The 25,581-nt window shown below is 39.8% G+C and overlaps 1 protein-coding gene across 2 annotated transcripts in view, besides 2 other annotated features; it reads right to left on the bottom strand.

The window, feature by feature from the left end:
- Positions 1–25,581, bottom strand: part of TAF3 (TATA-box binding protein associated factor 3) — a 198,127-nt gene that overhangs the window by 33,189 nt on the left and 139,357 nt on the right. The window contains exons 3-4 of one of the 2 annotated variants that reach the window (NM_031923.4): positions 17,701–19,523; positions 6,120–6,202 (exon numbers count right to left, since the gene is read on the bottom strand). In NM_031923.4, coding sequence (NP_114129.1) covers positions 6,120–6,202; positions 17,701–19,523 — 1,906 coding nt within the window. The remainder of the gene's footprint in view (positions 1–6,119; positions 6,203–17,700; positions 19,524–25,581) is intronic. The other variant, XM_011519741.2, reaches the window with a different exon arrangement.
- Positions 16,063–16,357: a silencer, noted in NCBI's record as "tiled region #13617; HepG2 Repressive non-DNase unmatched - State 15:Elon". NCBI's record gives its function as "represses a minimal TATA promoter and a strong SV40 promoter by Sharpr-MPRA in HepG2 cells {active_cell/tissue: HepG2}" and the evidence as "EXISTENCE:reporter gene assay evidence [ECO:0000049][PMID:27701403]".
- Positions 21,289–21,453: a silencer, noted in NCBI's record as "fragment chr10:8003953-8004117 (GRCh37/hg19 assembly coordinates)". NCBI's record gives its function as "represses an EF-1alpha promoter that drives an FKBP-Casp9 reporter gene in an ReSE screen in HepG2 liver carcinoma cells {active_cell/tissue: HepG2}" and the evidence as "EXISTENCE:reporter gene assay evidence [ECO:0000049][PMID:32094911]".

Here is a 25,581-nt window from a genome sequence, read left to right as displayed (position 1 = left end):
TGTACACCAACCAGGTTCTTTGCCCTGCCTCCCCAGGACACTTTTATAAAAATGCAAAACTGACAGCCTTTTCCTAACTACAATAAAACATATAAATCGCCTTTGCCTGCCTCTTGCCCCTTATTCTGGTGTGAGCCCTCCTTTCCTTCTGGAACCTACCACTTCCCCTTCTGACAGGGCAGCCTCCCTACCACAGGGGCTGCTGAAGCGAAGTCCTTCACGGGGGCTGATAACGGAGGCCCGGGAAGCGGGGCTTCGCCAGGGACTGTGAGCACCAAGAATCACAACAGCCTGAGTGGCCAGGACCACCTCTGCCACCGCAGAGGCCAGATGAGAAGAGGAGGGTGGGCAGAGCCCTAGGATACTTGGCAAGCCTGCAGGTGGCCCCGCCGAAGTCACATCCACCCCTGCTGTTTTCCCCTCTAAGACGGTTTGATTTGGATTTCTGTTACTTGCCACCAAGAGTCTTGATTAACACAGTTCAGAAAAGGAAATAGGAGTGTTTCCACTAGAGATGAAGAGGTGCTTAAGAGCTGTCAGCACTGAGCTGTTCTTTCATGCTTTCCTCTTGGAAAGTGTGCAAAAGTCAACAAAAAATGCCTTTGGGTCACCTATAAAAACCGCTGTGGAGGACACCATCTTTGTCATCTGCTCCCACATAGAAGTTAATTTTTAAATTTACTGCCTTGAAAAACTCTCTCCTGAGAAAGTGAAACACCTTCCTTTAAAAAAAAATGTATTTCAGTCAAGCAAGATTGCTCACACCTGTAATCCCAGCACTTTGGGAAGCCAAGGCAGGTGGATCACCGGAGGTTAGGAGTTTGAGACCAGTCTGGGCAACATGGTGAAACCCCATCTCTACTAAAACTACAAAAAATTAGCCGGGCATGGTGGCACATGCCTGAAATCCTAGCTACCTGGGAGGCTTAGGCCGGAGAATCACTTGAACCCGGGAGGTGGAGGTTGCAGTGAGCTGAGATCACACCACTGCACTCCGGCCTGGGCAACAGAGTGAGGGAGGCTCTGTCTCAAAAAAAAGATAAATAAATAAAAACAAATTAATTTTAAAAATGTATTTTTTTGCCCTTACTGCTAGGAAGGTATGATCATATTTGACCTACAATCATTTGCTTCTTTTTTCTTCCCTTGATCTTAGGGAAGAAGATCTATTTCTATTTCCGACTGTACTATATATACTCTCTTTACTTTCCCCTAAATTTGTTTAGACTAGGAAAAAAGTTATATATGAATAAAAAGCACTTCAAGTATAGAAAGGAAAATTCAGAAAGTGAGATAAAAAACATTTACTATTATTTCTCTAAAGAATGTTTCACTAAAATACCACTGCAAGCTTCACTCTGTTGAATGTCATTTGGCTAAATCTGGCTATATTTTAAAATATAAAATGCTTATTTTCCTTAAAAATATTTTAAATGATTATTTTTGTAACTGCCCATGATTATTCTTCACTACTATTGTCAAAAAGCATTAACTGGAAAAGTTTAGATCACTCAAAGACAAGTGTCTATACATATTGATTTTAAAGATTAACAAGCAAAGCTTTAGCTCTCATTTTCATTATATATAGAAAAAATTTAGACATTACAAGTATTAAAAAGCCCCCACAAGGCTTAAGTTAAACTCTGTGAAATGCAACAAAAAAAAGTAAATGACATGTAAAGGAAAGCATCACATTCTCAGCACCTTTGTTAGGACGAGGGCTGATGATGAAGTTACTGAATTGTAAGAAATCAATCCACTTGCCACCAGAAATCAAAATGTCAGCAGAAAGAAAACTAATGCCAGAGGTAAAGTGGTTTCTGAAAAATATCTTGACATAATTTGTATATTTTGAAAAAGGAGTTATATTTGTTAAACAGAATACCTACTGTGAACTCTCAAAGGGAATTTAGAATTACCATTGATAATAATATTGTTCTCTGAAAGGCATCTCAAATGGTTCCAATATCACCTGATCCAATATATTATGAGATATTTATTAGAGAAAACATGACCATGCATGATGGGATGTCTAGAGGGGCCCAACCAGTCACCCCTTCTCTGGTGCTTGCTGATAAAGGCAGGAGTGCTCTGAAAGCAGGAGGAGGAGGAGCTGCTCACCATGGACCTGGGCATGGGGGACCCACTGCCCGAGGGCAAGGGTGGGTGAATAGATGGAAGAGGGAGGAGGCTTCCTCTTCAGTCCTTGGGAGAAGACAGCAGCAAAAGAGACGTTTGAGAAATCTGAGGGGAAGAATGCTTATTCCTCTACCCTATATTCAGCCCCAAATCTTTATGCAAATTTGTATTTTTTGTTAATACTTTACCAGTGTTTCACCTTTTTCTCACAAAGCTCCTTTACCTGAATTTGAGCTTTATAGAAGAGTTGCAGGCCCTATTCTGCCAAGTCTTTCTTGACAGTTCCATCCAAACAGCCCCTGTCCCTAAAATCCATCACATTACCTTGCTCCTATTTTCTTGACAGAAATGAGGAAAAGGATGAACACTGTAAGTTAGCCAATTCTACCTACATTTGCTCAAAATGACCAAACTCAATACACAGTAAGATGGGGAGGACAAATAACCTGGTGCCTGCTTTGCCACCTGCCCTGGCCTCCATGGTGGCTGTCACACTCACCCTGCTCCCAGCCCCAAGTCCAAGTGGGACCTCAGGATCCCATCAACAGAGTTGCAGGCAGTGGCTCTGAGGCAAGCTGAAACTTACTTGCTATCCCAGCATCAAGGCAAGGCTTCTGCTAGGCTGGACCAGATATTTCAGCAATTCACTTGGATATGTTGTCTCTAGGTGTTGAGACTGTAATTTCAGGGTTAGGTTTTGGTTTTATCTTCAATATAGACTACAGGGAACTCTGGACACCCATTACTGGAAGATCTGTTAAAGGAATCTGAGGTCCTTGGAAAGTCATCTTGAATTTTAACACTATCAGGAGGAGGTCCTGGACTCACCATTGACTCCTTTAGAATACAGTTTCCAGGAATGTTAAATCAAGGGAAAAACAAGTTATTCCTGTCTTGCTTCAAGGAACAATAATAGGGAACACAGGAAACAATCCAAGCTCAAAGTACTTTTCTGGATCAAGGGCAGAAGACATAACTGCTTTATTTAAGACTCAGAAAGTAAATACTGTCTTAAAGATCTTCCAACTAGAAGGTATAATTTGAACCCTGTAAAGCTTTTTCGTTTTTCCTAATTTCAAAAGATGATTCTGCCTGTTCTTCAGCAATAAATACCCCCCTGGACTATTCAAACTCCCCCTTTTGAATCCCAGTCTGCTCATTAATTTCACTTCAAAAGAGTATTATTCCCCCCCAAGGTGTGTGCAAACTGGGTAACCACAGGCACAGTGACAGGAATCTGTCACCTCCCTCCCCATTATCACCATGGACTAAGCCATGTATCATGCTACAACCACGGAGGATCACTGAAATTTGAATGTTACATATTTTCATGTGTCATAATACATTCTTCTTTTAATTTTTTTCCAGCCACTAAGAAATATAAAACACATTCTTAACTTTCAGGTCACAGAAAACAGGCAGTGGCCTGGATTTGGCCCATAATTTGCTGACCCCTGATTTAGAACCACCCCCCACCCCACCACCCCACCCCACAAAAAGCACTTTACTGAATAAGTTTTATTTTACATAAAATTCTATTACTATTAGATTTAGTCCTCTTTCTTTCTCGCTCTATTTTAATTTAAAATGTAATCTATTTCACTTCATTTATCTCTTTGTTCATTATAAGGATTTTCTTGCATCTGCCTTTGGTCAAATGATTAATCCTTCATATAACATGGCAGTCATTACCTACATATCTGAAAGTTTACATGATATATAATATGCTTTCAAGGGCAATTTGTCTAGAATACCTGGGTGTTATAATTTCCGTGATACTAGACATTCTGTTCCAAATAGGATTTCTCATATCTTTCAATATCTCAGGTGTATGAGTGATTTATTGAGGGGGAAAACAGAATAAATAATCAACAGAATGACTGAAAGATGCTTAAAGGCAGGTGAGTTGAATATAACTATCAATGCCTTTTTTTTTTTTTTCATTTTTTTTTCATTTTTTGAGACAGAGACTTGTTCTGTTGCCCAGGCTGGAGTTCAGTGGCGCGATCTCAGCTCACAGAAAGCTCCGCCTCCCAGGTTCATGCCATTCTCCTGCCTCAGCCTCCCAAGTAGCTGGGACTACAGGCACCTGCCACCACACCTGGCTAATTTTTTGTATTTTTAGTAGAGAAGGGGTTTCACCGTGTTAGACAGGATGGTCTCGATCTCCTGACCTTGTGATCCACCTGCCTCGGCCTCCCAAAGTGCTGGGATTACAGGCGTGAGCCACCGCATCTGGCTGCCTTTTATTTTTTATTTTTAGAGACAGGATCTGGCTCTGTTGCCCAGGCTGGAGTGCAGTGGGCACGATCATAGCTCACTGCAGCCTTGAACTCCTGGCCTCAAGTGATCTTCCTGCCTCAGCCTCCCAAGTAACTGGGACTACAGGCATGGCCTACCATACCTGGCTTTTCAATGCCTTTTAACAAATCTTATTCCTCTAAAGGGTATGAGCAAGCCAAACTTCTGTGTGGGAGTCAAGATTAAGTAATGGTGAGTTACTGAGACATGGGAATAAATATAAACTGCAGGAGAAAAGTACTTGTTGAATGATGGATAACAACATCTTCCTCTTAGAGAAATGAGCCCATATGCAGAATTTGCATGGAGATGGAAGATTTACTTTGGTTGGGTCTTCTCTAAGCTCTACTGGTTAAGGGATGAGGACATTCTTCATGCTTCTGTAGGTAAGATAGGGGCATTAGGTATACCAGATAGCTGGTTTCAAAAGCACTGAATCCACAGGATTTTTGCTGCATTTCCTAGGTCTCTACTGGCACAACCGAAAAGAGTAATGTGGAAATTATCCAGAGAATTTAGGTGAGAAAAACAGAAGCCATCAGATTTTCTCCTTTAAATCTTCAGAGGGGTATACACTCCCCTGGAAAACCAAGTTGCCTCTCTGCTCACATTCATCAGAATCATGCTGGACTTTTTCTTTGCACTACACGTGGAACTGACAGAAGCAACAGTATCAATACATGTAACTTTTAAGATGAAATGAACCACTGAGAATACAAAGCAAATTTTCTGTCCTCTCTACTAAATAAATTCATGGCTCCTACTCTCACTTTTATGGCTAAAAATTGAATGTAAATGGAATGCCTTGTAAGCCTATTTTCAACACAATATTTGATTGCAATGTAAACTGCATTTTCAGGCTTAATGGGAAAAGTAAGGTTGTAGAATTTTTATCTTGTGTATTTTATTTAAATGATGCATAATATGCTTTTAGAACAAGGGGAATGATTTTCAACATGAGTTCCAAAAAAAAAAATCAATGTTTCATTATCTTATTAGGATCAGGTAAGAGTACTGTAGGCCTTAATGCTTCCCCAAAAAATGAATAAAAGAAAAATATCCAACAGATTAACTGTAAAGACGAGTGGGTTGATATGATGATTCCATGAAAATTAAGACAAATAAACAGCAAACGTGGGGTTTGCATTTCTAGGGCTTCCTTAAAAAAAAGTGGACTAAGTCATCAGTTGTGACTATTACATACTGTCTCTCCAAGCCTTTGGCATTTCTTTGTTTTACAGGTACAGAATAAAACCATGTGCCATCTGAGCAAAAAGAGAATCTTTGTTCTTTGTCATGGTGACAGATACTATGTACTTGGGAAAGTGTAACATTGCATCCACCTGGGTGTAATGTGGCAGTAAGTCCATTCAGTACAGAGTTTCTTATTTTTCAGATAAGTGGGACCTTAAAGACTATGCAGAAATAATGTCAGGTGCTAGTCTTTAAAAAAGAGAAAAAGAACAAGAAAAAAAAAATCCTTTACGTCAAATAAAGCAAAAAGCATTTACTCTGTGAAAGAAACCAATAAAAACTTGAAAACGAAGAGTTCTAAAAATAAAGCTTGACCCTACAGGTTCATACCTGGGAGAAGCTTGTGGAATTCTAAGTCCCTTAGGAAAGAGTAGAGAAGGTTAAATTTCATTTGTTTCACCCTGATTCAAAACGTTTATACTTACATCTTGTCTTGGCCAGCACCGACTCGGAGAGTTAATCTGGGGATAACTGGACTCGGGGCCAGAGCGACTGGTTCCACTTTTATCTGTGGAAGTTAGCACATTAAAGTTCAATATGGTTTTTCAACAAAAGTACCTCCTACCACTTCTCCTACTCTCCCACTCTCACAAACTGAGTTAAAAAGTTGAAGCCTTAAATATGGCTAAAATTTAGACAGAAAGACAATCTGGGCCATTCTGTACAACTGAAGGCTACCTGGCATCATGAGAAATTCTGCAAACTTTAATCATGCTATATAAATATGGTAGTTATTTCTATTTGTTTGGGTTAACTTTTGGACTTAATTATATTGTTAAAATTTTTAAACAAAAATTGTTACCTAGATCATTTCTGGTGGAGCATTTAAATAATTACCAGACTTAATATAAATAGAAAAAACTGCGATGATGTCTTCCCTATAAGATAAAAGCATCTGTTTATGGAACTTGACAAACATTAAACTCATCTTAAGTTTGCGTTATCAAATGAGAAAGTTGAAATACTAAGTGTAATTGTACCATTCAACTGTTCAATTTTTGGCTAGGGGTAAAACAATCTGAAATGCTGTAAAAGAAAACAAAAACAAGCAGGGTGTGGTGGCTCATGTCTGTAATCTCAGCACCTTGGGAGGCCTGAGGCAGGCGTCATGAGGTCAGGAATTCGAGATCAGTTTGGCCAACATGGTGAAACTAAAAATACAAAAAATTAGCTGGGCGTGGTGGCGGGCGCCTGTAGTCCCAGCTACTCAGGAGGCTGAGGCAGGAAAATGGTGTGAACCCGGGAGGCGGAGCTTACAGTGAGCCGAGATCATGCCAGTGCACTCCAGCCTGGGCAACACAGCGAGACTCCGTCTCAAAAAAAAAAAAAAAAAAATTAGCCAGTCATGGTGGCGGGTGCCTGTAGTCCCATCTACTCAAGAGGCTGAGGCAGGAGAATCGCTTGAACTCAGGAGGTGGAGGTTGCAGTGAGCTGAGATTGTGCCACTGCACTCCACCCTGGGTGACAGAGCAAGACTCCATCTTAAAAAAAAAAAAAAAGAAAAAAGAAAGAAAACGAAAACAGATATTCTCTTTTGGAATGGATTTGTGGTGAAGGCAATGGCTGCCAAATAAGATAAAGACCTCAGAAAGATCTGACCTGTTCGTCAGAAGAGAACACAGAAACTAAGTCTGATGTTAAAGGGTCTCTTCACAATTGTTGGTTTGCAGATCATATAATCAACATTTTGAATTAACAAGCTAAACAAAAGCTCTGCATTTCCAAATTACTGTCTATCTCCAAGTCTTTCGGTGGGGCTGTAGGATTGGTATTTTTGGTGGGATGGTTCTTTGTTGTAAGGCACTGTCCCAAGCACTGCCAGATGTTTAATGTCACTGGTTTACTGTTAGTCACTGACTAGCTGCAACATTAATTTATGTATTTCAAGCTCATGAATTACATCATAATTGAACAGTATAGTGGTTCTAAAGGGGAACACATAAAATAATGATCAACATATCATAAAGTTAATATAGTACATGTAGATCAAATCTATTATTTTCTCTCATGTATTTATCTGTCTCTTCCTAGAGTTGTTTTTCAAATCCCTCAGCCCATCAAGATCTACTGCTTCGACAGCTCCCTTGCATGATGCCTGCATGCAGGAGATGCTCGGCAGACATTTGTTGAATTATCAACTTATCTTGCCCCAACCCTTTTACCTCTTAGTTATTCCACCATACATCCAGGACCAACCTAAAACCATCCCCTAGAGCACCGAGTGATGCCAAAGAACATTTTTAATTCCAGCTTCATGTATGCCTCCAATACTAGCTGTTTACCAGCTAACCCAGCTAAGGGCAGGGACCATGCGCGTTTTGCTTACTGCTATTTTCTAGTGCCTGTTTCAGGATCTGACCCTAGTAAGTCTTAAGATAAGTGTAAAGCATGAATATGAAGCAATGATTTCAATCTTTAGCACTTTCAAGACTCTTCCCATGACCTTCTTTCCCCTTCTACACATCTAACTCCACAGGAAATACCGGTGAGGCCACCAGTATTGAAGGAGAGCTCTGTCAATTCCCTACAAACTTCTCTGTGCCCACAATTACACTAGCATCTGTCTCCTGCTGTCTTCTAAAGAAGCTTTCTCTATCATCTGCTTATTTACAGTATCTTCAGTCTTTCTGTTCCACGAATTATTTTCATCTCACTCTTTTTTTTTTTTTTTTTTTTTTGAGACAGAGTCTTGTTCTGTTGCCAGGCTGGAGTGCAGTGGCAATCTTGGCTCACTGCAACCTCCAACTCCCAGGTTCAAGAGATTCTCCTGCCTCAGCCTCCAGAGTAGCTGGGATTACAGGCAGCTGCCACCATGCCTGGCTAATTTTTGTATTTTTAGTAGAGACGGGGTTTCACCGTGTTGGCCAGGGTGGTCTCGATCTCCTGACCTCGTGATCCGCCCGCCTCGACCTCCCAAAGTGCTGGGATTACGGGTGTGAGCCACTGTGCCCGGCCTTCATCTCACTTTTAAATGTGCTCCACTCCATCTTAAACATTTTCTTAACTTCTCTTCAACCTCTAGCTAACAATTTCTCACACATTTCAATCTTCACTTCATTGTCTGTTTTCTCACTTCTTCTTCATTCCTCAACCCTTGCCAATGTCCTCATGTCCCAGTTTTCCCATTATAGGTCTTCTCATGCTCCTTCCTTCTCCTTTACAAACTCCTCTTCTTTCACCCAACCTTACTTGGCCCTCTCCTCTTGTCATGCTACAGTTTCTTTAGTGATCTCATCCCTGCCCACAGTTTCGAAAGTAAGTTTAAAATACGTCTTCAAAATTTTGGTCTGGATTAGCACTGATTGACACTAAGGCCAAAATATGAAGATGCCTATTCAACATTTTCAACTAAATAACCTATAAGTATTTCATCTCATCACACTGAAATCTTAACGTATCAACTTGCCCACAAACCGCCCCTTCCCCCTAGCCAACATCACTCTTGGCTGATGTCTCCTTCATTTACCTGGTCCTGCAGACAGTATGGTCCAGGGTCAAGGGTCATGAGGGGGATGGGTGGCGGGTGGAGCAAGACCCTTGCATAACTAGTTAGCATTCAAGTCTCGTGTGTGTGTTTGTGTGTGTGTGTGTGTGTGTGTGTGTGTGTGTGTGTGTATGTTTCAGAAGGAATCTCACTCTGTCGCCCAGGCTGGAGATCAGTGGCACGTTCTTGGCTCACCACAACCTACACCTCCTGGGTTTAAGTGATTCTCCTGCCTCAGCCTCCCGAGTAGCTGGGATTACAGGTGCATGCCACCATGCCCGGCTACTTTTTGTATTTGTATTAGAGACAGGGTTTCACCATGCTGGCTAGGGTGGTCTCAAACTCCTGATCTCGTGATCTGCCTGCCTCAGCCTCCCAAAGTGCTGGGATAACAGGCGTGAGCCACCGTGCCTGGCTGTCTCCAATATATTTTTTAAATGAAGAGTTTTATATCTAAACAAATCTGAAAACAAATGGTCCAGTCTTATGAACTATTTAAGACTTCCTCATCTTTCTGTGTTATCTGTGGAAGAATAAACAAATATAACAAAAATAAACAAACATTTACAAGCTACCTATAATTTGCCAGGCATTGTGCTTGGTTATATTCCCAATGTGCTCATTAAGGTTTTTAAAAAACAAACATGTAGGGTAGATAATGTGGGTTTCATTTTACAGGTAAACTGATCATATATGGAGAAACCATTTTTCCTTTCTTTTCCATTTTGTTTTCCTTTTCTCTTCTGAGGTCACACAAATAGCAAAACTGAGACGGAATGCAGTCTTTTTGATTCAGAGAATGAAAAATTATATGAAGTTCTTATATTCTTCAACTCTAACAATTTTAGGGTTACACAGTCATCAGTGATGAGGTATTAGAAGTGATATTTCTTATTTCTTCAACTGACAACACTAGCATGTACGCATTCCAATAACCTTTTCTTAAGCTCGATTTTAAAATAAAGCTGTTTGACCTACCTTTAAAAAAATTCTGCTCTACTATTATTGAGTTGTGTGTTTGGCCCATTTTTATTACCATAACACCCAATAATGATAACTTACACTTGTATAGCACTTGGTGAACTGTGTCCTATTTACATTATTCAACTCTATCTTCACAACTCTATAGGGTAGGTGTGGATGGTGTTATTCCCATGTAAGAGCTCAGAAGGAGTAAGTGCTTTACCTAGAGTTACAAAGTTAGTAAGTAAATGGCCTAAATCCAGGTCTCCTGACACCAAATTCATCCCCTGTTCACCCTACTGCTCCTTAACTCTCTGACGCACATTGTGAGTCCTTTTTCTGGTAATATTGATGGCTTACATGGAGCTATTCACTTTATTTGTCAATATCTCTTATGATAAATATTTGTGAGATGGCTGGGGTTAGTTGTAAATTTTGTTCTCCATGGGAGGCTAACTAGTTTATATGGAAACTGACATTAACCTTGGCCCCACCTTCACTCAACCAAACTAGCTGGGTTTTCAACGCTGTCTTAAATGGCTTGGCAGGACAAAGGAATCAAGAAATGGTCTGTTTATTATCTACTATAAAAAAACCCTAAATAATACAATATGTAAAAATTAAGTAAACAAAAGTGGAAACACATAAGTGAGATTTAAAATGGTATAAATGTGCCCGGAAGGCAACAGGTATTCAGTCAACTGGTTGAATTAATGAATGATTCACAACCTGCTATCTCGGCTCAAAGTTTCATCTGTAATTACAGTGTTTGTATCATCTAAACACAGATGCCTCTGACAGGAAAAGAGGGAGCTATTAATTATACCACATAACTGGGATTGTCCCAGGCAAACCAGGATATATCTAAAAACTACTTAAATACTTTTATTTCATTCCTAAAAACAAGTTAAATTAGATTTAACTTGAGAAAATTCAAGGGATTGTAGAAAAAGATTAATGAGGATGCTAATAATATACATACAGAAAGTACAATTTCGAAATTAAAATTTCTTCCCGGATTTTTGTTTCCATTAACTTTATCTGTGTGCTCACCAAAATAAAAACAGAGGCATTTCCTACAATCATAAAATAATTTCTCACATGCACTTACCAAAAACAACAAACAAAAGGATGACTTCAATCACTTAGACAACATGACTAATGCCATCTTTTAATGGCATCAAGCCAAAATCTGGGGCCACGATGAGCTTTTAAGGGTTAAAATAAAAGAACAGCACTTTGGAGTAATGCTGAGAATTGGGGCACACAGAAGAGCATTTACAGTGGATTACTAAGCTTCCCAATTCACCAAAGAGGTAAAGTCCAGCAATATAAGACTCCTTTGTAGGTAACTAAAAATACATTGTCAGTGGATTTGTCCAGTTTTATGTAGAAGCAATACTTCTTTCACCTGAACTAATACTAGTAGTCATATAAGCCCCTTATTGCCATGTGCTGCATTTTTTTTGTTAATCTTCAAGGATTTAGCTTCTTCGCCACACACCTCAGGGCACCAACTGATAAAGCTCTAACTCTCCATTTTTCCAGGACACCAGCAGTGCGGCCTTGCAAAAAATGAAAATCGCTCAAGAGATTTAAAGGGGAAATTTATTTTTAAAATCCTGACTTGAAGCAAAGAGGTGGATTTTTAAAAAGCTTATCTATAAAGAATCAGTTCAAATTTAAATTCTATCTTGGAACTCTTTCATGCATTCCAGCTTTAAAGTTTATCTTTTGACAGGGACTTTCTGCAAAGGTAATGGGCAGCTTTGTCAATATAATCTGTCCAAGGTTTTTTATTTTTTTATTCTTTTAATGTTAAACTCCTTTCATTAAAAAAAAAAAAAAACACCATATATGTATACTAGCTAGGGTAGCAGCAAATTTAGCAAGCGCTAGTTCAGATTCCCATCTATGCCGGTATGTTAGAAAAAAACTCACAAATAGTACTGATGAAAGCTCAACAGAATAACCTAACATTTGGATGCTGAACTATGGCTGTAACCATCTTGTATTTCTCAGCAATTAAGGTCTTTACATTATTTCCATTTAGAAACACAGTCTAAGTAAACTCTGATAACTATTTAAAATATTAAACAGAGAGTCAGAAGATGTGCAGTTGTGGTTAAGTATAACAAGTGCCACCCCATGTAGACAGCTGAGACAGAATATGAGCTTTCCCGTCCGTGCTCAGAGTGTAGAGTCAGAAAGGCTGGGAGCTGGCCTTGGGTGAACTACAAATTTAAATATACTCATTTAAACATTAAGTTTCTTGTTTTCTCTTGGAACATACAGTTATGAGAAACAGGAAGGAAACATTTCCCTCCCCTTTATTGGGTTTATTTACAAAAAAAACCCTTCATTTCACGAATTAATTACAATAGCTGATGAGAAAAGACTTGGAATGAGACTACATTACTTTAAACAAAAGAGGAAAAGGATGAAAACCCTTCCTTAAAGGTACAAACCAATTAGATGATTTATCATTCTCTAAAGAACAAACCGTTTAAATTTAATAAAAGATTATTTGGGGGCAAATCCTACAGGACTTGGGGATAAAGAAACATTAAAATTTTTAATTGTTCTGATTGCTAAAGTCATCAAAGTGTAAAGGATATCCCTTTCCTGCTCTTTAAAATATGGCGGTTAAACAGGTGCTCTCTAAGGTATCTCCAGGAACTAACATTTTATAAAATCATGATGTGCCCTTGCCATCAAGCATCAAACCATTCCTATCCCCCTCATTTGCATTTGTCACTTAGGTCACCAAAGCAGACTGAGGTAAGTGGCTGAGAAGGCCATTCTGGGCAGTAAACAACACAGGCCTCGGGCAGACAGGCCTGGGCCCCCTCCCCTCACTGGCTACAGCAAGGTACTCGACCTTTCTGTGCAGTTTTCTCAACTGTAAAACAGGAACCACTATACCAAACCCTCAGAGCTGTTGGGAGAATTAAATCATTGAATTCTGGCAAGGCCTGGAACCTGTAGGCACTCAAGAGGTGGTAGATGCTAACACTGTTGACTATCGAGTTAGTTTATTCAGTAGCCAAAGTTCAAATAAAACAATTCCTCAATCAACAGGATAAAAAATGTTGAGAATCCTTTCTAGAATTTATGGGCTTTCCATTGTCGACAACTCCCAATTATGCAGGGGTTGATCATCAACACTATTGGATATGTGTATGAAAATTCAGGAACTGTTGTAGTCCTCTACTTATCTTAATTAAATGACACAAACTGCTCTTCATTTATTGTTTTCTAAGAGAAGGCAGAAGAGAAAGCCTCTGAAGCCAGAATATTCTTCGAGAAGGTATGAAACTACTGTTTTTAAGCAGAGATAAGTTAAACTTTAGAATGCTGCTGTCTCTTCCTAGTTTTGAATGGGAGGAAGGAGACGGAGGAAGGAAGCAGAGGGTCTGCGAGGATGGGAGGTTGGTGAATAACGAGTAAGTGGCAGAGCTGGAATTTCCACCCCGGTCAGTGTGGCTGCCAAAGCCATGCTCCCTCAGCCAGCACTGGACTTACTTATCTACAGATGGTGGGTGATGTCAGCATTTTTGGGGTGAAACTCTACTGTGCCTTTCCAGATCATATTCGAATGTAAAAACAGATCCCCCACTTTGACAGATGGATTTTGGCTTACTTTCTATTTAAGAATATAGGTATAACCATCCAGTTCCACTAACATAAATTTAAAAATGCATTTATTTTTTCAAAATGATCCTCCCTCCAAAAATCACTTAAAAGAACAAGAGGGAATTGTAATTAAAGTAATCCTGTATACTCATCTAAACCCCAAAGATCCATGCAATATATACACCAACCCACACAGAAACCAAAATTTTAATAAAACATTTTTAAAAATTGTACTTAATCCCAAATGTGACAGTATTAATAGCAATTTTAAACTGTTCTGAAATGTAATGTTAGATTTATCACTGCTACAACTATTATGGCTGTGACTGCAATTGGATAATATAAGTGCTCTTAACATGTCTTTTTTTTTTAAGACAGGGTCTCACTCTGTTGCCCAAGCTGAAGTGCAGTGGTGCTATCCTCCCGCCTTAGCCTCCCAAGCAGCTGAGACTCCAGATGTGCAACACCATGCCTAGTTAATTTAAAAAATAGGTTTTTGTTTGTTTGTTTGTTTGTTTGTTTGTTTTGGAGAGACAGTCTCACTATGTTGCCTGGGCTGGTCTCAAATTCCTGGCCTCAAGTAATCCTCCTGCCTTGGCCTCCTAAACTATTGGGAGCATGAGCCACTGCACCTGGCCATTAACATGTGTTTTATAAAAAGTTAATGTGGTTCTATTTTAAATAAGTGACAGTCTAGAGTCCCAACCCTGACTAGGTGTCTGACTGCCCACGAAGGGGAACTAAAAGCTTGCACAACTCACCACTCTCTGGATTTATCATCACTAATAGAAAAACAATTTGAACTTCTTATGGTGAGTTACCAACCAAGTGATTTCACTTATCCCATTTTAACATAATATAGAAAAGTGTGGTAGTGAGGACCATAAATTATAGCATCTGACAGCCTGGATTGAAATTTTGGCTCCTGTTCAATCACTTACTAGATGTGTGATCTTGGGCAAGTCTACTAATCTCTCTAAGCCTTAGTTTCTCATCTTAAAGTGATAATAATTACAGCATCTATCTTAGAGGGTTGTGGTAAGGAATTAAAGTGCTTAGCATGGTGTTTGGCACATAGTAATTACTCACTGTTAACTATGACTGTTTTGCTGTTTTTAGTGTTCTTATCATTATTTCTAAAGATGAAATACTTAAGGATTAAAGAAGCTAAAAAACTTGTCCTGGATCTTATTCCAGGTCTGCTGGATTCCAAAGCCCAAAGCTCCTTCTACCTACCATGCAAATTCCGTTTTAATTAATCACATCTTTATTGGTTCTTGGTATCAGCTTTATAAGCAGGTAAAATAAATGTGGAGATTGAAAAATTTAAACAAATGCTCTTGCTTGCCGATCTGGGTCAGTGTCTGGGAGAGTTGCTCTTGGTCAGGATGATGAGAAGGGAAAATGAGATTGTGGCCTTCATTCTTTTGGCTGAAAACATTTTCTTGGGGCAGCTTGTCTCACTTTAGTTTAACCTTTGGTGCCTTACATAAAGCTGCTCACATAAAGTGAGCAGATATGTCTCACTTTAGTTTAACCTTTGGTGCCTTACTTCTGTAGATTTGTAGGAAAATTCTCGGACCATATGGAACCGCATTTCAGGTGTATTTTTGTTTACTCATATGCTGTGGTGCTTGGGGGATTTAAACGGGGTTGAAGAAAGGGAAGTCTTAACATTTATGTTACTATCCCAATTTCTACTCCTTATCAATGGCATTTCCCTGGGTTGTCCTAACCTTTATCCTTTCCTATTTGTATCAAGGGCTAATATTCCAAAGAATGCCAAGGAAGTAGAATAATTTTTAAAACCTATTAATAGCTGACCTGCCCATATTAACACAGGCTAGCTGATATGGTCCAATGGAGCAGCAATCTCCAGGTTCCTACATTTTATAGTTTGATTCAGAATGGAACACTCTCTCCATCTACTGACATTTATGCGTCAGATACGGTACTAAGCACACCTTGTATGTTCTCATTTAATCCTTATATAAATGACTTACCCATTTTACAAAAGTCAGGATCTGAACTCAGGTCTAATTCTATAGACATTACTATTTATTATTTATAAAGGTCTTATAAGATAGCTGAATTTTCTACATTTTTATCTTTTGCCATGTACCTGCTCCATAGCCCAGCAAAACTGATCCAAGAACATGTATCTTTCTCTCAGGTGGACTCTGTGCTTCGAGGGACTGAGCCTTTGCCTTCCACCAAGGTGGTCTGGGGGACTTTTCTTCCCTAAAGTCAGGTAGATGCTGTAGAAAGGCATGGGACTGCTGTTACAAACCTAATCTGATGGCTTCACTCAAATTCATAATGGCTGTTGAAACAACTCCACTGACTTTCCAAAGTGAAGATGGTGGTGACAGGAACAGTCCCCTGTTTGATTTACTGAGGGCTCAGCTGCCAACTTACTAGGTACACAAGGGATAAATGACTAACTGCTGTCAGGCAGTATCTCTAACAACAAACCCCTCACCACGTGAAGTCTCTCTGCAGTGTAACTGACCTGGCTCTTGCTAGCTGTGTCATCCTGATCTTGGACAAGTCACTCTCTCAGGCTCAGTTTCTCTTCCATAAATATCGATGATAATACCTGCTGGACCTATGTCACAGGTGTGTTAGGAGGAGAAAACAAGGTGTATGGATCTGCTTTAAAACCTGACAACTACTATATAGAAATTGCATAATAATAAATAAAATGATTTTTTAAATGGAAATAAGAGTTGGATTTCTGTGTCTTGTTAACTTGTCAATGTTCAGTTATTGATATCAGAATTCCCATTTCACTTTTTTATATTTTAGGATAGCCAAAGAGAACAAAGAACAAATCAAGGTAGGCGAAAAATGGGAGTTGCCATTACTGCTGTCAAATACACTCAGTTTTCTAGGTAAGTTTGAAGTTAAAAATACTCCGAATTTATTGGTAATATATCTGCTGCAGGTCAAATACATCAAATTTTATCATATGAACAAAACTACTGGGTATTATTTTGTGGCCAAGCTCAAAGAAGATAACTTTTAGAGGGCAGGGAAAGGATCATCAGGAGCTCTGGGGTGGCACTATGAAGAGATACTTTTTCGGAAAGTTTATGAGAAATTTTCAAATAACCCAGCCGGCTGCTGTAATCCAAGAAACCACAGACTGAAAAGCAAAGCTGGGTAAGCAGAGGTCACAGCCTGAGGACTGAGGCCCCAATGCCTACAAAACTGCGGGGTTTCTATCAGTTTGTCGGGCTGTATGCTATGAAATGAAGTCTGACTTACTGAGATGGTCAAACATTTCTGCCATGTGGGATTACTTTCTGCCCACTCACCAGGCTGCCAGATCAGCCTAGATACTCAGAAATGTGCCCTTATCTTATTAAAGCAGAAAACGGAAGGAATAAAAGATGCTACGGAAAGTTCTGTAGACAGGCATAATCCTAAACACATGCCAAAATGGCGCACCAAAAAGAAAACCAAGGCAGTGGTCCTTCCACGGGCCTTGCTGTCCTCTTAAAATAGTGCCGTGGTTTTGCATGCTTTTAGAAACATGGATGCTGCCTTTCTCAATATATGGGTGCAAAATATAATGCAGTACACTTGATAATTCACATAAATATTATTCACAATTTAAGAACCCAGATTTGTTTTTTTTAAGCTGCCAGAGATCACTATAGCTAATAGAGAGTTTATAGTCTGTGATTAGATGCCTCTTAGGCTATGAATTTTTAACATCTGCTAGTGTGTTGAGGGCTTGATTACAGGTTTATGGGTTTTAGAATTAAAATCAAATTTTGTAACCTCATTATAAACATATTTCCACTTAAGTGATGGGTGATTTACACCCAGAATACAGATATAATTGTGGGCTTTGTTTACCTGTGTTTCTCACTAGGACTCTGTTCAGATAGGGCCAAAAATGAGAAACTGCTTACTTTTTCATGCTTGTGTTTCTCCTTCTCTTTTTCTCTCTTCTCTCGCTCTCTCTTCTCTTTCTCTCTTTCCTTCTCCTTCTTCTCCTTCTCTTTTTCCTTCTTTTTCTTCTTCTCCTTTTTGTCCTTTTTCTTTTCTTTCTCCTTCACCTTCTCTTTCTCCTCAAACAGTTTTTCCGGAAGCACTGGCAACAAAGATGGCAGCATGGCTGGGACCCTGGAGGCTGTGGCAGGGCTGAACAAGGGCAGGGCCAACTCTTTTGGGGGCAACACCAGTGGGGGTGCTGGGGCTTTCATCTTATCTTCTCTGCCTTTATCTTTCACTTTTTCTTTCTCTCTCTTATCTTTATCTTTCTTGCCTTTCTCTCTATCTTTCTTCTTATCTTTATGCTTCTCTTTCTCCTTCCTCACAAGTCCATCTTTCAATTTCACTTTGGGATCAACATCTTCAAATTCTTTGATTTTAAACTTGTAGGGATCTGCCTCTTCCTCTTTAAGAAATTCCTTCCAGGGATACTTTGTTTCCCTGCCAGTTTCCTTGTCTTTCTCTTTCTCTTTCACTTTATCCTTCTCCTTACTTTTGTCCTTGTTCTTGTCTTTTTCCCTCTCCCTATCTCTCTGCTTTTCTTTCTTTTTCATTTTAGTCTTTAGTTCCTTTTTCAACTTCTTCTTTACCTCCACGGAGGAAGGCAGCTTGGTTTTCTCCTCATACACCTTGTGGAGAGGTTCGGGAGTGGGAGGAGACACTGACGGAGAAGAGATATAAGGAAAGTTGGGGGGCATATTTGAAGGTGTTCCCAGTTTTGCTTTACGTACAACCTCATCAATGGAGGCATCCATTGTCCATGAGTTATCGGAACTTGAGGTTCCACCGGAAAGAGGCAGAGGAGTGGATCCTGACTTTGTGAAATTGTTCGCGGAAGTGGAAGCTTTGGGAGTAGTACACTCCGGGCCTGAAATTCTCTTAGGGCTAGTAAAAATGTCTCCTTCAGATTCCGATCCAGAAGAAAATTCGAAAGGATCTGGCTCTCGCTCAGCACAGGCTCGTGCAATCACAGCATCGATAGAGGCCTCAATCGTTTTATCTGCTACCACAGCCTTTTTCGGCTGATTCTCACTGTTCAGTTTCCCAGCATCAGGGGGTGTCTGTATTTGTTTTACCTGGATAGTCTCTTTACTGATTTTTTCACTGAGTGTAGCTGAAGGAGTCCTGTTGGGCGTTTCAGGTCTCACAGGTGTTTGGGGAATGTGAGTCGTGACCTTGGGGCTCTTGGGACTCTTGGGGCTCTTGGAACGTCCAGGTGATTTCTTTTCTTTGGATACAGTTTTTGGTGATCGAATAGGACTTCCGACCATTGCTGGTGACTGGGCGGTTTTAGGTGATTTAGTCTTCTGTCCTGGAGAGCTAGTTTTAGTCTTTGTTTTAGGTGTAAATGACTTTGTTTCTAATGGTTTTGCAGTTGGCATTTGTGATTTTGCAACTGGAGCCAACATTGGCGGCTCGGGTGAGGGAGGTGCCAAGTCTGTACTGTCCTGTACATGGACTGGAGAAAGCATTGGTGGGATCTTTTGAGTATTTATTGAGCTGAGTGGCTCTCGAGCTTCCAATAACACAACATCTAGCGTGTCCCCTTTAGTGCTTAATAGCCGAGGCCGCTTCATGGCTGGCAGTTCTTCAGCTTCAGGACTATCCAGTGGTCTCTTGCCCAGGAAATTCTCATCATTAATAATTTCTTCCTCCTCCAATTCATCATCTTCTTCCAAGGGAACCTGCATGGCTTCTGCTGATGTGCCTCCATCAGTGGGCACCTGCTCTTCTTCTTCTTCTGGTAAAGGAAGAAAAAGGAAGAAAAAAATAAATATTATTGGAATGTAACAAAACCTAAGAAATAAAAACAATGCTTCAAATATGATTTCTTTTTTCTTTCTTTTTTATTATTATACTTTAAGTTCTAGGGTACATGGGCACAACATGCAGGTTTGTTACACAGGTATACATGTGCCCTGTTAATTTGCTGCACCCATCAACTCATCATTTACATTAGGTATTTCTCCTAACGCTATCCCTCCCCCAGCCCCCGACCTCCCAACAGGTGCCGATGTGTGATGTTCCCCTCCCTCTGTGTCCATGTGTTCTCACTGTTCAACTCCCACTTATGAGTGAGAACATGCGGCGTTCAAACATGATTTCTAAAAAAAAAAGGAAATTATTGACAGTGTTTAAAAAGTAAGTTAGTTTTCAAGGATCTTCCAAACATGTGTGCCATCATTCTTAAAAGAGTGGCAGTCAGTAACAGCAGATGTACAAATTGATCATTGTCCTTTCACATGGTCTGGCCCTAACCTCAGGATCTGGAAATTGCTCGGTATTTCCAGTTGGCCTTCTGTTGTTTCCTGAATTAATTATTTTCCTAACCAGTAAATGCCATCTTTCTCTATCTCTCTCTCATGCACATAGAAGCACACGTGCGCACCCACACACCCTCTAAAAAATCAAGAGATGGATTATTATAGGACTTAGTATGGATTATTATTATTATCAGGAATGACAGGTATTTTTAGGACTTTTATGACAAATTCATATACTACTTATGTCTTCTATTTTGCTTGCTTGATGTGAGCCACTTGGAGAGGGAGTATGGTGCAATGAAATACACTTGGTTTAGGCACTTGACAAATGGTTTTTCGGCTAGAGTTACGGCACTAGAGAGCAACCAGCCTTAGGGACTCTCTCAACCTCTCTGAGCCTGTTTCCTAATCTTTCAAAAAGGAGCCGATGTTACTTGCCCTGCCTACTTGGCTGAGTTTTTCTAAGATCAGATTATTTCTCCCAACACATTTTAACTAAGCATATAATGTACAATGATAAAGTCTAAAAGAGCCACTGAAATAAATCAGAAATAAATCACAACTAAAAGAGCTCACAGTTTAGTGCAGCAATAACAGATATGTCTAGCCCACAGAAAGTGATCAGTGCCACAGACAGATAAAGTGCTACAGCAGGTCAAAGGAGAGACAGATCTCAGCGAGGTCAATCATGCGGAGGAGGCTTGATTAATTATGCAGCGTTTGGGATAGTTGGAGACTGGAAGTGGTGAAGTCCAGGACAAAGGGTCAGATGACAAATAGATGAAGGTGAAACACGGGGAGTGTAAGAGAAACAGAAAATTATTTGTCTGGAAAGTAGAGTGCAAGGTGGGGAGCAGTAGGAAGCAGGTTTAGTAAAATTGCATCCAGATCCTAGGACTTTTGAATTCCAGAAAAAGAAACATAATCTTTATTCTACTGGTAGTTTGGACCTAGAAGGATTTTAGACAACAGAGAAAAACGTGTGGGGTATGTGTTGGGAAAAGTCACACTGGCAGGAACACGCAGGATGGATGAGGGTGGGAGGTGATGGGTACTGAAGGAGAGCAATAACATGGATTACTGAAGTGATGTGAGAGGCAGTAAGGGTCAGAGCTAGAACAGTGGAAATGATCAGGAAGCAGCAGAGGTGAAGGATATTCTGAGGATAGAATGGATAGAATCTGATAAATGATTAGGGTATAAGACTTGAGCAAGGACTCAAACACAATTTCAAAGCTTTGAGCCTGGTCAGGCATGGTGGCTCATGCCTGTAATGCCAACATCTTGGGAGGCCGAGGGAGTAGGATTACCTGAGCCCAGGAGTTTGAAACCAGCCTGGGCAACATAGTGAGACCCCATCTTTACTAAAAAATACAAAAATTAGCTGGGTGTTGTGGTGCGTGCCTGTAGTCCCAGCTACCTGGGAGACTGAGGTGCAAGGGTCACCTGAGCCCAGAAGGTTGAGGCTGCAATGAGCCATGATTGCGCCACTGCACTCCAGCCTGGGCGACAGAGCGAGACCCTATTTTTAAAGAAAAAAAAAAGGGAAAGAAAGCTTTGAGCCTTGGTGAGTGATAAATGTAGTGATGAACAGAAACAGGAAATAAGGAAATAGAAAAGGACAATGATTATTAGCTCAATCCCTAGACACAGAGTTTGATGAACATTTAGTCTGCAATGCCTACTCGGCAGCTGAAATATAATACAGATGATCAGAAAACAGGACAGAGTGCATGAGAGAAAGAGTGTTGTTGAGATAACTAAAGTCACCATGATGGATGATATGAACAAGGAAGAAACAAGAGGAAACAGGTTCAGGTATTTTGAGGAATACCTATATATAAAAAGAAAAGGAAGAAGAACTAAAGAAATACATGGAGGGTCAGATGTCAAAGAGATCAAGGGAGCAAGAGTTTTATGCAGAAGGCAGGTGAACAAAGCCAAATGCTTAAGAGGTCAACGAGGATGAGGCCAACAGCAGAAGCCATGCTGCAAAAGCATGAAGGATGCACAGATGGAGAACGCGTGAGATGATGCATGGGGAAGTACTTAGTAAATCATAAAGAACATCACAACCTCATCAATTATGCTACCGATTCGCGATAATGATGGCATCACCCACCAGGTCCCAAGTCAGGAACCTGGGGTCATTCTAGATTCTCTCCCATCTTCTCCGCCAGATCTGAATTGACAGCACAAGTTTTCAACTCTGTTTGCTTTCATGTGCTTTCCCCCTGCTTCTGTCTTGTTAATATCAATATTCAGCACCTCTTCTCTGTATGGCTGCAAGGACCTTCTACCTAGTCTCGGCCTCCAGTGCAGCTTTCTCAGAACCATCTCTCACGTCGTCTTACGGTGATCTTCCGAACACGCAAATCTGAGCTTGTGGTTCCTCATCTTAAAAACCTTTCATTGCTTCCTTCAGAAGCAGTTTGTAAAAGGCATCCCTTGGAAATTGAGGGTTTGTAGAACCCCTTCTGAGGCTACTGCACAGTAGAAACGGCTGTTCTTTATTACACGGAAGAGTTATGCCTGGGGTTATCTATTTTACATGCAGAGCTTCCACAAAAGCTTTTGTTGTGAGGCTAAAACATGTTTGAAAATCACTATTCTAAAATACAAAAATCCTCTCCATCTGGGAAATTGGAGGAAAAAATAAAATATAAAAATCCAATTTCTCCAGTATGACTGACAAGGTGCTCCCTCTAAGCTAGGGAAGTAACCTCATCATTCACAGTGAGCCCCTGCGTGCTCTACCCATTCCAGCCATGCTAACTTATCTGCAATCCCCAAATATGTGGTCACACTCCTGTACCTCTGCACATGCGATTCCCCGTGCCTGAAATGTCTTTTCCTTCCTAACATGTTGGCGACTTCTAAGGCTCTCAAGTATTACCTATTCTGTAATGCCTTCTCTTAGCAACTAGAAATAACCACGTACTCCCTTTGGGGTCTACTGTGTTCCAGTTATACATGCAACAAAGAAAGCCTAGAATATTTACTATCCAGCTCTTTACAAAAAAACGTTTGCTGACCCCTGTCCTAGACCTACCACATTCAGCTCATCTAAACTTTTCCCTCCCTCCCTCGCTTTTGCTATCAGAATGACAAGGCGGACTTCAGATCTGCTCAACTGCCAACAGATAAACATGAGAAAATCAGAAAGAAGACAGCTTTAGGGTATTCTGAAAGTGAATGAACATTCACTTATTAATATTACATTTCTAAATTTCAAAGAACCTCCTCCTACTCCACAGAGGTTCATAAATCCCAATGATGCCAAAACAGAATGATAAAGGTTTGGCTTAGGCAGGATAACGGGTCTTTAGAGTATGTTATGGTGCATCCTGCTCTTCTAACTCTGGGGACTAATCTGGATATAGCTCAGCTCTAACAGTGTGTGTTCTCCAGGGAAGGCCTTATGGATACTGGGAGACCAGAGGGAAACTGCTCTACTCCAAGCATTCCCTAGAAAGGGACTACAGGGGATACCCAGGACTACTAGTAAGACAGTTTCAAGTCTTATGGATGTAAGGTCTGCTTTATAGTTACAATAACTTGAAAATTTGGATTTTTCTGTATAGTAAGATATATTATTTTACTAATGTGCAATTCTATCAGATTAGAACTGGCAAAATGGCTACAAGATAGGCCTTTGAATGAAGGAAGAATGTGAGGCTTGGCTAGGAAAACTGGGATGGTTTCATACAACTACTTTAGAAAATATATTGGTTTACTTTGAATTTAGAGCTCAAATAACTCATAACGGTATCAAAAATTAATGATGGTTGTTTGTGTTTCAGTAAAAAAAACTTAACATTAAGCTTGATTTAAAGTAAGACTCCACAAGCTAGGTTTATTCTGTTTTTGTTATTTTGTTTTTATTGTTTATTTTCACTTTTGTTTTTCAAGTTCCTACTGCAAAAATTTATATTCATTCCTTTATGTTACTTAATACTGCAAAAACTTGTATTCATTCCTTTATGTTATTTAAAGGAATAGAAATGAATTATAAAACTAAATCACTTCAAGTGTTGGTTTTAGGAATACTTAAAAATACAAACGTTTTAAAATAGATTTTTTTTAGAACAAACAAAGGTTTCTTATTTTTATTTGTTTAATTTACACTTTCTTATTTACTTAAGATTTTATAAGAAAGCTTCAATTGCAGCATCAAAATCAATTAAAATGAACAAAGGACTTCGTCAGAAAAAAAAGCCTGAAACTTTTTTTGTGTGTGTGTGTGTGTGTGTGTGTGAGACAGAATCTCGTTCTGTCACCCAGGCTAGGGTGCAATGGCACGGTCTCAGCTCACTGCAAGCTCCGCCTCCTGGGTTCACGGCATTCTCCTGCCTCAGCCTCCCAAGTAGCTGAGACTACAGGCGCCCGTCACCACGCCCGGCTAATTTTGTGTGTGTGTATTTTTAGTAGAGACGGGGTTTTACCATGTTAGCCAGGATGGTCTCGATGTCCTGACCTTGTGATCCGCCCACCTCAGCCTCCCAAAGTGCTGGGATTACAGGCGTGAGCCACCGTGCCCGGCCAAAAGCCTAAAACTTTTAATAAGAAAAGGAAAAAGTGTGAAGATACTTAAACAATTTTTAAAATTAGAAATGATCTGATACCTACCAGCAGGAATAAGTAACGCGCGTGGAAGTTATGAAGCATAATAATCAGTGAACACCTGCGAGGCCATCGCCTGCTTCAGAAGAGCATGAGCAGGGCCCTCCCAATCCTGTGGCTCCTTTCCCATCCACCCCTGCTTTCTCCACTCCTACCCCAGCCCCCAGGGAACTACTATCTTGATCTTCAATCTGTTTCCTTTGTAGTTTTACCATATTTGTAGGTAGTTTGCTTGTTTTTGAACTTTACATAAATAGTATGATACTATAATTTTTTTTTTTAATTTTTACCCAACATTATGTTTCTGAGATTCACCCAGATTGATGCAGGCAGCTGTAGTTCACTTATTTTCACTGCTGCAGAAATGTCCAATGGTAGCTAATCCATTCTCCTGGTAAAAAAGTTTTCGACTTGAGTGAATATATTTTATTTTAAAAATATTAGAATTTTTAAAATTAAAACAAATAAATACAGTTGATCTAGCTTCTGCCTGCTCAAATGCAGACTTGGTTGATGGTTACACATAATGAGTATCTGGCTTTTTACTACATGAATAATTTTAATTCTATGTTTTAAGTGTTTGGAATAAGATACATGTGTAATGGCTATTGAACTGTTTAGCCTCTACCACTGGTAAAGGTGAATTTCAGTTTCATAATAATTGAATGGCAACAAAGTATTCTTTGCATGCATGTGTATAATGATCATCATTTACTAATAATCTGTAAAATATCCTACAAATGTCTTAAAAATATTTTCCTACACTAATCTGTGGAAGCCTGTGTATTATAAAACTGCAAAATTTGGTCAGCATAAGCTTAATATTACAAGATATCTAATCTTGATATGTTATTGCAAAAATAATAAAAAAAAATTTGGGTCACAGGCCCTTTCTACTTTAACACAAATATA

Source organism: Homo sapiens, chromosome 10 (genome assembly GCF_000001405.40).
Source record: "Homo sapiens chromosome 10, GRCh38.p14 Primary Assembly".
Classification (NCBI taxonomy): domain Eukaryota; kingdom Metazoa; phylum Chordata; class Mammalia; order Primates; family Hominidae; genus Homo; species Homo sapiens.
This window is presented reverse-complemented; position numbering and strand designations above follow the sequence as displayed.